This window comes from Homo sapiens, chromosome 15 (genome assembly GCF_000001405.40).
Source record: "Homo sapiens chromosome 15, GRCh38.p14 Primary Assembly".
Taxonomy (NCBI): Eukaryota; Metazoa; Chordata; class Mammalia; order Primates; family Hominidae; genus Homo; species Homo sapiens.
In genome coordinates, this window is record NC_000015.10 from 27529909 (window position 1) to 27542299 (window position 12391).

Genomic DNA, 12391 nt, shown 5'->3' on the forward strand with positions numbered 1-12391 from the left:
AAAGTGGGAAAGTTTAATGACCTTAAAGGAAGTACAAAGAAAAATAATTCACAGACAGAAAGGGTGCCAGGCCTGGTGAGAAGACACAACCAGAGAGACCTGTAGCAAGAATAATGCTAAGCCAAAGAAAAAGGAAGTCTGTCCTCCGGTCTGCAGCCTTATGCTAGTGAAGGAGCCACCGTTACCAATAGAAAGAAGCAGAAATTGGCAGCCTCTGAGTAATGAGGGACAGGGGCCAGACTCCGTGAACTGTCACATGTGTGGCCTGGGGCAAGCTGTTCCAATTGCTCTGTGCCCCTTTCCTAACATGTCAAATGCAAGGCTGAGGAACTTCACATGTGCCCAGGAAGCACGGTGCTCTGGGACACTCACGGGGCTGCGCTATACACACACACAAAAGAGGAGGGAGTCAGGGACCCAGCTGGGCCAAAGAGGACTTTGGGAATCGTTAATTAAAATCTCTATCTTGGGTACAGTTTGAAATTTTCATGACAAATGAAAAGGAGGCAAGTAAAGAAGTTCTTAAGCTGTTTAGGGCTCTTAACATCTTACGTTTTGCTTCAGTCTTATAAAATGGAATTTGTTTCATTTCGAAGCAGTGAACTATGAAGACATAATAAGAGCTATTTTCAATATTGTAAATATGATATCCAGGTGTTTTTTGGCTCCCTAAATGAAGTGAAATGGAGGTTTCTCTTGCTCCAGAAGCCATCCTGCTGCCCTGCCTGTGGCCTCCAAGGGTTGCCCTTTAGATCTCTGGTGAGCCATCCCCGCATCAGCAGAGCCTTCTGCCTCCCCGTCTAAGTCAGAATCTTCCTGTGTGGCTGCCTTACCTTGCAAATGGCCAGACTTCTCCTCTGTGTCTCCGGTAGCTCCCAGTTCCATCCACATAGCAAGGGACTACACAGAGGCATGAAGCAACGAGTGGATGAATGTCTGGCTGATCACTGTCAAAGCACACGTGTAGGAAACCTTTATTGCAATTGTTTGTTAATAAAGGCAGATCTTTCAACCGGAGGTTGTCAAAAGGAGGCAGATCCCTTCAATGCAGTGGGGTAGAGGAAGGGAACTGCTATGTTTTAGCAAATGCTTGGCGATGTTTACACCCACTCGGGACAAAGAACATTAACCTAGAAGAGATGTGTCCACATTAGGCCCATAGACACAGCGGGACTTTTATTTCTGCCTACTCATCAGGATTGTGGAGGAGGAGGAGGGTGGGCAGCCGCACCGTGAGGCCCCAATGGTAGCAGAGGGAGATGGCCACACGTGTGAGGAGCAAGCAACACCCTGTGAACATGTGGTCCAGGCCATCCTGCTAATTTAGGTCTGTCCTCACACACAGATGCTTCGCATTTACAAGAACGCACCAAAGGCTGCAAGTCCTGAATCTGAGTGCCTGATCAACACTTCCACCCCTCCCCGATTTATGACCCCATGACTATGAGCATGTCCAATCAAATTGAGGCCCAAAAGTAGGAGGGAAAGCAGTGCCATGTCTTCTTGGAATCGTATTTTTGGATGAAAGTATAAGAGGTTGTTACGATGCTTTCTAATGAATTCTGAATGGCCTCTGTCCCAGCAGTGTGCCACACCCAGGCAAAGGCCCTTGCCAGGAAGCCCACTGAGAAGGGTTCCCTCTCCACCTCCTCCTTGGTGTCACCCTCCATGGCTGCCATTGGCATCCCATCTCAGATCAACCAGCACAGATGAAACCAAAGCAGAAAGGCAAACATGCTTTTTAGTTCCCTTCCATTATTCAGTCCAATTTAGAAACGTATCCCCTTAACAGAATTCAATGTAGTGCACACTTCATAGTTTTTTAGAAGAGCTCAGCCTCTGTCTGAAGAATTGACAAGTCTATTTGCAGCCATGTCTCAGGGTTAGGAATGATTCTTCTCATTTAGGAGTGAATAGTATGTTGTTCTCTCTCCTTTATCTGCCCCACTTGGACTTTTCCACTGCAGGAGGAGGGCTTGGGAGGTAGAAAAGCAAGCATTGTAGGTGGGCACATTTTTGGTTATGCTTCTTGAGATGGTAAGCGGTGTCCAGCCACCTCACACTGAAAGCTCACTGTCACCAGAATCACATGGGACATGAGGATCCTCTCATCATTCCTGCAAGTCATAGCTTTTACTCTTCACTAATTAGAAAAAAGTAACATATTTGTCTCTCCCCACTTCAATATACATACTGTTTCACATTTAAGGGATAAATATATGTCCATACTTACTACAAAACCACAGAAAAGTAGGCAGAATAGGGACTTCAAATGACTAATACACATTTGAAAATATGCTTAACCTTCTTCATTAATAATCCGGGAAATACAAGATTTGAAACTGCAATGCAATTTTCCTTGCATTAGAATTGCAAGGATTGAAAAGACCAGGGGTCTCCTCTCTCAGCTTTGGAGTCCCCCTCCCTCTGCCTCTATACAGGGAAGCTTCCTCCTTTCTTCCTTCTTTCTTCTCTTCTTCCTTCCTTCTTGCCTATTAAACTCTCTGCTCCTTAAAACCAAAAAAAAAAAAAAAAAAAAGACCAACTCTCTCCAGCATGGGGGGAAGGGCACACCCACGCATCCTCTTTATCTATAGGAGACAGATGTAATATGGACCTACTGCTTCATACACCTCAGGGTGTTTTTATTGCATTTTACAATGGTTGTTGTGTCATTTTTGTTGCTTGCAGAACTATTCCCTCCTGGACATGAGGCCACCACCAACTGCGATGATCACTTTAAACAATTCCGTTTACTGGCAGGAATTTGAAGATACCTGTGTCTATGAGTGTCTGGATGGCAAAGACTGTCAGAGCTTCTTCTGCTGCTATGAAGAATGTAAATCAGGATCCTGGAGGAAAGGGCGTATTCACATAGACATCTTGGAGCTGGACTCGTACTCCCGGGTCTTTTTCCCCACGTCCTTCCTGCTCTTTAACCTGGTCTACTGGGTTGGATACCTGTATCTCTAAGTGTTGCTCAGAGTGAAGAGTGAAGAGCATTTGGTACACACTTGACCTTCTGTCGTCCCCAGACCAGTAGTGACCAATCGGGAGTAGCAAGGAAGGACACTGCCCAGTGTATCTTGTTATAAATGACCTTTCAGCAACACAGGAAGTACCCAGCAAAGGTTTCTATTATGTATTTTACACACACACATACATACACACACACAGCTAATTGAGTTTTAAAGTAATATTCTTGCTAATCCCTACTGAATTGTAGCTTGGTGTTGTTTCTGAATGGTTTTTGGATATTGGAAGCAGCCGCTGATTACCCTTGCAAAGAAATCTGTAAAATGTGCACGTGAATGTCTGAGATGCTCTCTCAGGCCTCTAGTCCTTCTGTATCTTTCCTTTGCAGCCCTGGGTGTAGTAGCACTCAGGAGTGTTGAATCACCCCTGGCCGAGACCCACTCCTGCTGGCTCAGCCTGGGCATGTGTGTGCTCCAGTGTGAACAGCAGTGGGTTCCAACCCCAGTCTCCTTTCTCTGTGGCCTCTCTGGCTCCAGCACCATCATCGTTAGCTGGCACTCCTTTACCTAATAACCTCGTTCTAGGCCTGGGGAGAGTACACTCGCATTGTCTACGGTTTCCATTGGAGGAGAAAATAAGATTTTCAAAATGCTCATGTTGTTGGGGTCAAAGATGATTATCTCTGAACATCAGAAGGTTATTACTTTATTCCAACTTACTGAGAGTCAACAATATTTGAACTTTGGGTTCTTGGACTAGTTCAACAGCATTTCACCTTAAGAGCTGTTTTTCACTAGACCAACGCTCAACCCTCGAGTATGTGTCCAGCTTATGTTATATTATTATGGGTTCGGTAATTGTCATTTTGCAAAGAAAGGTATACAGTGAACACAACCTGTTATCTTGAAGACATACACCGGAATGTGAAAGACATGTAGATAAAATTTTATTTTTATTTTATTTTTTTGAGACAGAGTCATGCTCTGTCACCTGGCCAGGCTGGAGTGCAGTGGCACAATCTTAGCTCACTGCAACCTCTGCCTCCCATGTTCAAGCGATTTTCCTGCCTCAGTTTCCCAAGTGGCTGGGACTACAGGTGTGCGCTACCACACCCGGCTAATTTTTGTATTTTTGTTTTTTGTTTTTTGGGTTTTTTTAGTAGAGACGGGGTTTCACCATGTTGGCCTGGCTGGTCTCGAACTCCTGACCTCAGGTGATCTGCCCGCCTCAGCCTCCCAAAGTGCTAGGATTACAGGCATGAGCCACCATGCCCGGCCAAAATTAAAAAAAAAAAATTAGTGAATATTAATTTTCAACTCAAACCAACTTTAGATGCAAAAAAATGGGCAATGGTGATCATCAAGTACATATTTTGATGAACAAGATTATTTTATACTTTGAAATATGGATACATAGCAAAATCCCAAAGAAAAAATATCCCCCCAAATCAATACTCTTTTGATATTTTTATAATACAAAACCAACTTGCTGCTTGCTGTTAGTTCTTTGTTATAACTGGATGCCAATGTGAACTGCAGAAGACTGTTTTGAAACTTCTCCTCACCAATAGGCAAAACACAAGTCCTACCAGTTAGTTAATAATGCTTTGGCATTGTTAAAATTTGAAACCAGAATCTCTGTGCTTCTCATCTTTCTCACATAGAAAACTGAATTAATTTGACCTAGAAACCGTAATTTTTAAAATTATCTATTGTGCATACCATAATTACCCAGAAACGTAAAATATTTTGCAGAGAAAGTATAGAAAAGTATCAATTTCACACAATGTCCTGGATGTATACCAGACACAGAAGAGGATGGGAGCAGAAGAGGCCAGAAAAAGTGAAATTAGATTCATCTGCTTATTCCTATTAAGATTGTTGCATATTAAACGGATGCAAAGATATAGATATGTCTGAATTTCCAAAGATGGAGTCTATACAGCGTGAGACATTCAAACCCATTGTTTCTCTCCCTGTCAACTCTCTGTCTTTTGGTTTGGTAGTTGCTACATAATCCACAAGCCAATTGGCTTCAGTTTAGCAAATTCAGTTTTAAAAATAAAAGAGTATTTGTGGAGAAACAGGTTGAAAATATTGTCTTAGATGCAATGTCTCCTCTATTGGAGAATTTCACACTCTGGTACTCTAGTTCTGTCTCTCATGCATAAGCAACCCCCGCCTTGGCAGAAGTATTCTGCAAGGACCCTGACCAAAGGAATCCAAGTCACACCACAGCACTGAGCGCCAAGGGAAGGTGGCCCAAGGGCAGTCTTAAGACACAATGTCAAACGTTATGAATGGGTAATTTCTAACAAGCTGAAGAACTGCAACCTGCTACATTGTAAACGAAGTTCTGGAGAGAACTGAATTTTCTAGAAAAATTCTTATTGGGAGGAAAATAACCTAAAACAACTTTTTATAACATGGATTTGTTTGATTTTACCTTAAAAGAATTTTACTGATGCCTTGTGTTTCAAAACCACTCAACATTTGGATATTGTTAGCAACCCTCCTGAAATTTTACATGTAGGATAAATACACCAATAACCTCAGTTTTCTGAATCCAGCCATTCTCTTCTTCCCAACCTCAGCAGCCCTCCTGATCAAAACAGATGAGTTCAGCGCTCCTTTTCTAGGAAGGAGAACCTTCATCTCAAGAAAGTCCAATGGATTTCACTAACTGAGCATCATAGTGTGGATTCCTGCATATACAGCAGGCTCCCCACTAGGGGGTCTCAATAAAAAGAGCTAAAGCACCCCCTAAGAGCATGTCCATGCCGGGTTCTCCGCAGGCTTGCATAATTCAAGTTCTCCATATCAGTCTCAACTCCTGAGATGAGCCTTTTCAGTCCACAATGAGGAAGAGATGGGTGTGCCTTGGTGAGGTGCAGAGCTCAGGGGATTTTTAATCATGTACATGTTTACTTTCTAGAGGAAGGAGAGGAGCAGTGTGGGGAGAGTGGGAAGGAAGTACGCTTTCTTTCACTAAAGACTCTCTTTGCCAGGATGCCTGATCAGGAGGGACGTGTGTGGGCACGAGGTGCAAGGCTGTTCCACACAGCTAAGCCCCAGCTTGCTTTGCATGCAGAATTGGGAAATATTTGGGGTGGAAGTTGTCTGAGTGATCTGCATTCCAAAGGTGCTACTGTGTTCCTCACTTTCAGAAATACTCTAAGTTGAGGAGATGACAGTTCTGTATTTTGACATGGAATCCAAATTTCTGACCACTGTGGATCACACTTAAAACTGTGACTGTCTGTCTTTTAAGCTGCATACTGGGTGGGGGGAAAGCAAAGAAAAGGCATTTCACATTAATGGAATTGGAGAAAAATGTCTCTTCAGAGCCTAGAAAGCTTCAGCTTCTGCAAAGTCCCAACACCACCTACCAGAACAGAGACTCCCTACATACCAGACAGAGAAGGACAAAGTTAGTATAATTTACTCTGGACCCAGCCAATACTGCCCCCAATTTACCCAAAACATGCCTTAAAATGAAACAGAAAGCTCAAATAATACACATCTTTTAAGATTTTCCATTTCCTGCAGTTAGCTATATTTCATGCCAAGTTTTATTTATCTTTTATGAATGGATGGAAATAGGATTTCATTTCTTTATATGCCAAACAGTCTTACCCTTAATTTTACATCAAACCAATTAAGTACAAAGATTTTGCAGGCTCTTTGACTGAGAAAATGCGTGTTCTCAAGAGCAAAGCATTTTCACTCTACATAAGGGAAATTGGGGCCAATCTAAAATGTCAGCAACACAGTCCTGATGGGGATGAGTGTCTCTAATAGAAACTCCGCACCAAATCATTTTACCTGGTGATAGCTTGCTGCAGTAAGTTTGCAGGCATGTTGCTTCGTTGTTCTGCAATATAACCACACTCGAAGCAACAGGAGAGGGGCCGGTAACCCATTCTGCATTGACTCCAGCTCCCTATGACTAGGAAGCAATGAGCCACTCTATCTAAAGGGCTAGAACACAAAACAGACAAAACCTCTTCTTCCTTGATCATTTTTATCTCAGCTGCCAAAATGGAAATTTTCTGTGATTTCCTTTGAGACTTGAAGAATTACACCTGGTCTCCAACCATTATTCTTATCACCGTATCGGTTCAGTGCTCTCAAGGCACAAAGCACTTGGAATTCACTCCATGATCTTGCAACTCTTTTTGAGTGCTTTTCCTGAGCGATTTTAAACTCTACCCGTAAGAAATTTCATCTGCAATTTCTGTAAAAAAAAAAAAAAAAAAAAAGAATGGCTTAAGCTCCACATAATCTGATGTAAATATACATTGAAACGTTAAGTTCTATTTGTACTGAAACACTGTCCACCTTAGACTTTAGAACACTATCATTTAACAGATATTCAGAAAGGTTCCGGAAATACGGGGGAAAGAACCAGACTACGAATACATTGGAAATGTTAAATTTACAATATTCTCCTGAGCCCCCTTCCAATTTCCCAAAATTGAGAAAGTGTGTAATCTGTACCTATTTTTTTTCTCAAATTGGCCTGGAGGAAACATTCAGGTTCAGAGAGTTTAGCAGTGCCTCTATGTTTGTGTTCTCTGTGTAATCACATGAAAGAACCAACAAATAACTCTTCAGGATAAATGACACCTGCATCGCTGATCCCTTGTTGACTTATGTTTTATTATAAAAATAGATCTCTATCATTATAGGGATAAAACGTGTATGTTTTGAGATGATTTGGTAAGAACTCAGCCATTCAGTATTTCTGGAAGAATTAAAAACTTGGCTTTCTTTTTCTTAATGTCTAATAGTTTTGAAGACTAGATATTAGGGCATTTTCTTTCCTCCTTTTAAAATTTCTACTGATTACAAGCTAGCAATTTCAGGATATCAGCTTGATCTAGTTGTATTAAGGCCAAAAGGCAGACTTTCTTTATATTTATTTTTATTATTTATTTATTTATTTATTTATTTATTTATTTATTTATTTTGAGATGAAGTTTTACTCTTGTTGCCCAGGCTGGAGTGCAGTGGCGCCATCTCGGCTCACTGCAACCTCCACCTCCCGGGTTCAAGCAATTCTCTTGCCTCAGCTTCCCGAGTAGCTGGGATTACAGGCACCCACCACCATGTCTGGCTAATTTTTTATATTTTTAGTAGAGATGGGCTTTCACCATGTTGGCCAGGCTGGTCTCGAACTCCTGACCTTCAGGTGATCCACCCGCCTTGGCCTCCCAAAGTACTGGGATTACAGGCGTGAGCCACCGCGCCCAACCTGTATTTACTTTTTTAATGCCACCTAGCTGAATAATGCTTTGGGTTTTACTGTTGTCAATAAAACCCCTTATACCTTTTATTGTCCTGCTTACTTATAAAAGCCAAATTTTAGGCGAACTTAAATAAATCAGTGCTGAAAAACTAGTTGAACAATCAGTCACTGACAAGTTTTCAATGTTTTGAGTTAACCAAGTGGGCTTTTCAGATTAGGTTATTCAAGAGCATGAGCTAGAAAATAATTAGGCAGACAAAACATATGTTCTCACACACACACCACTTCCAAAACAGACATGATTTGAATGTAGCATTCAGGTTATTGAGGTGAACGTAAATTGCTTTGCTTGAACAATTGAGATAATCACCTACTTTCGCCACTTCACTTTTCACATTTGTAAACACACACAGGGTTTTTCCAGCCCAGTGAGCAGGCTACACAATGTGAGGATGATAATGGTTCCTGCAGGGAAGCCAGAGCCTCTATGTCTGCCGAACAGTTTAAATTGAACAGGTTGGAAAGAACATTGATTGCCAATAATTAAATGCCCCAGACTGAGCAGGTAGCTGCTACATTTTCTCTTCTCTTTTCTAGTTATTCAGGGTTCCTTCTTTGATTTTCATGAGAAAGGAACATTTACACTTCCTGTGAGGGGCTTAGACTCCGATTTCTCCCAGTTGCCTCACTTACTGAAGTTCGATCCCAGTGAATGATGTGTATGTACCCAACACATCCAATTTGTATTTTCTTAAATATGTGTTTCTTAGGTATCTAAGGATACATGAGCGAGCCCACAGCACAATTATTGCAGTCCCCAAGATGTCAGTCTTCTCAAAATGACAACATTGTCACTAACCACTTTTTAAAAAAGAACTGAAATTCCCATTTTTTGTTAAACGTTTTTCCAATACATAGCAATGTGTAAAATAGACTCCCAAATCTCCTTTGGGAAAGGAACCTGTGGACCCTGGAGCTAAGTTGTCATTTTAGGGACATGGTGATAATCAGGACTGATGCCAGTAAGTGGGAAGTTCATTACGGCAAGGCAGTGGGAAGGTGCCAGCATCCCCTTTCCACCTGAGATGGGCTGAATTTTCACCCGGAAGTCTGAAGCCTCTGGAAGGGCAGGTGGAATCGCTCCTGGCAAGGGCATGACCGTGCACAGGCTGACATGATTTTCCTTTTGGGTGGATTGGAGTTTTACAACTGGATTCATTAGCACACGTGTGGGAACATGTGCCTGTGCCCACCCACAGCACTTCCTTGGAACTCTAAGCTGCTTCTCTAATCTAAGGAGGTCTATTCGAAAGGATAGTGCTTGACTTTCAATTTATAAAAGATTATTGGAAACACCTTAAGTAGTCCTAACCCACTGTCAGCTTCCAATTTTCAGGAGCAAATGATGACTGCTTTGATTTGGTTAGGCTTTCTTACAACAGGTTTTTATAAAATATTGTTTATATTTGTAACAGGAAGGATTTTCAATGTCAATTTCATCCATGAGTGAAGACCCCCCACTGCACAGAGCAGCACTTCTGTCACTCTCATGGGGAGATCAGGGTACCCACTCCTCTACGTAGCTTGGCAGACCCAGACCACCCTGAGCCAGCCTGCCACATCCGCTAGTCCATGCACCTCCAGGGTGGCCTTGGGAGCTACAGAGAGGAAAAAAAGAAAAAATGTTGCATTCTTAAGCAATTAAAGACTCCTTCCAATGTAATTAAAAAATAAGTAATGTGGCAAAAGATGCACATAACTTGCTCCCTCAAGTTCTAAATTGTCACCAAATATGAAAGGTTTTTAGATGAAGTACATCTACATCATAACCATCATCACCCTCATTGTCCTCTTCCATGTTTCTACTAGTACTCAGCTATTGATTCAACACAAAGGCTTAGAGCCTTTTCTGAACTATAACGAAATCAGAACTTACATCGTGGAAAAAGCGAAAAAGTTTCATTAGAGTTTAAACATTAAGTATACAGATCCTACTCCAAAATTTTGCTCGCCTAAAACATTTCCAGAACTGCTGTGTTCCCCAGCAGTCCTGCCTGCCCTGCCTCAATCAGAATTTCAAATTACTATTTAGAAGAACATTCCATTCAATTGTTGTTTGTTGATTGCTTTCTCTCTTTTTTTTTCCGTTTTTACCTTAGTTGGCTATTTTATTCCTTTTCGTAAAGATAACGTTTGAATTGTCTAACAACTATCTTTTTTCACTAAAATACATGCATCTTTGGAAACTGCAAATTTTGTGAGCTCAAAAAGACAATCACTGTGCTTCTTATCATCTAATTTGAGTCTAGGCTTTGTTTCCCCCTAACTTATCCTGGCATTTTTACTTTGAATAGAAATAGTCACAGGCAAAATATATTCATGAAATGTACAGTGCTTACTATTATATGATCTCTGTTTAGAATAACTATTTTATTAAAACAGTCTAAAAGACACTGTCCATCATTCTTGACATTTGATATGTCTAATTTTGTGCTAGTGAACCAAGTTTACCTGCTCACACGTTTGTACAACTACACAATGTGTTTTCCTTTACGTGCAGCTCCGGTACTGAGCAAAAGGTTCGTTGTTTAGGAGTGAAATTTTCTGTGAAAGTTTTGGGAGAGTAATTATTTTCAGGGATCAGACCTATGTGTTGTTAGGAGCAAGAGGCCATCTTGTGTTTACATGCAGTGGTCTGTGTATTTGTGTCTGTACGTACAGTGGTAAAACTGAAACAACTTATTAATAATGTGTGTCACTCTACCCATCACCCCAAATTTAGCTGAAACAAGTAGAAAGGAGCGCAGTTTTCTAGCGATAGCGTATTAGCACTAAGCCTCTGGTTAGGATAAAAAGGAGCAAGGGAGAGGGAGAAAGAGAGGACAGAGGGAGAGAGAGAAAGTGGCAATCTGTACATTTCCTGACAAAGTGGGATCATGTTCTTTCCAAGAAAAGGAAAAGAAATCCAGCTTCACTACCTGATCAGGAGTCCCTCTGGGGTCCACACAAGCCTGCCTCCTTTGGAGAGCCCTTGAGCATCACTGTTGTGACCGGGGTGCACACCTGGGCGACTCCTTGATCATTCGTGCATTCTGGTCAAGTTGACCCGATAAGCCAAAAGTACTTTTCAAGATTTAGATGGCAAACAGCCATCCCCACCCTTGTCTAGGAAGTCGTATTCGCAGGTCACAGGAAGGCGTCAGGTCAGGCTTGAAGCAGCCGGGGTGTGGGCAGGGTCCTCTCTCTGTGAAGCCTGTGTGGGAGGTGAAACTGTCAGGGGTCCTGGGAGATGGCCCAGGCAGGAAGGGAAGGAGAGAGGCGCGGACTGCTCTCTGTTCCCATGGAATCCTTCCTGCCTGTGAAGCCATTGTCCTCCAGATGGGAGGTAGGCCGGGAGATTCCAGAATCCGAAAACATTTTGGAATCATCTTAGAGCACCGGTGTGGATGCGCTTGGCCCCGAGGGGGCCGCGCCCTGCCCCAGTGCGTGCGCCTCCTGCCCCAGCAGGGACCCGCCCTCACCAAGTGGCCTCCAGTAGCCCCTGTGTCCCTGTCGTCCCGCGAGGGATTGGAGGCCCTGGCTCCGGGCGGTCCCGAGGTCCCGCCGCCCTCCTCCCCTGCGCAGAGGACGTGGCTCCCCGCTATCCGTGCGGCTCGTGGTGTCCTAGTGAAATGAGGGCGCACTGGCGCCCGACGTGCCTTGGCGACACGGGCGGCGCCGCGCCCCGCTTCGTGCGTCCCGTCCCCGCCGTGCCCTCAGCTGGGCCTCGTGGCTGGGCCGCCCTCTGTATTTGTATTTGGATTCCTACGTTTGTACTTCTAATACAAATAAATGCACATGTTGTCAGAAATACCTGAGCTGGAAGTGGACGTCTTTCTGGTTTGGGTGGCCGACTGGGAGCGTGCGGGATGGGGTCAAGGGCACTGTGTTGCACGGAGCCCTGATGCCCGCAGGGGTGTGACCCAACTGCCCCTCTCAGATGCTTACTTCTGGGGAGCCCAGCCCAGGGGCAGACTCTGCAAATGGGGTTCGGGGAGTGACTTTTCTCTGGCAGGAAGGGTACAAGTGGCTTTTCTAAGGGAAACGTCCTCCTCCACTCTTGCAAAACTCCATGAACAGAGACCCCCAAGCCACCCTTGGAGAGCCGGACACTCTGCTCCAGCCA

At 43.3% G+C, this 12391-nt stretch overlaps 1 protein-coding gene across 1 annotated transcript in view; it reads left to right on the top strand.

The window, feature by feature from the left end:
* GABRG3 (gamma-aminobutyric acid type A receptor subunit gamma3) overlaps positions 1–12076 on the top strand; it is a 570804-nt gene extending 558728 nt beyond the window's left edge. Inside the window, exon 10 of the mRNA NM_033223.5 lies at positions 2692–12076. Within this exon, the coding sequence (NP_150092.2) occupies positions 2692–2973 (282 nt within the window). The 3' untranslated portion in view covers positions 2974–12076. The remainder of the gene's footprint in view (positions 1–2691) is intronic.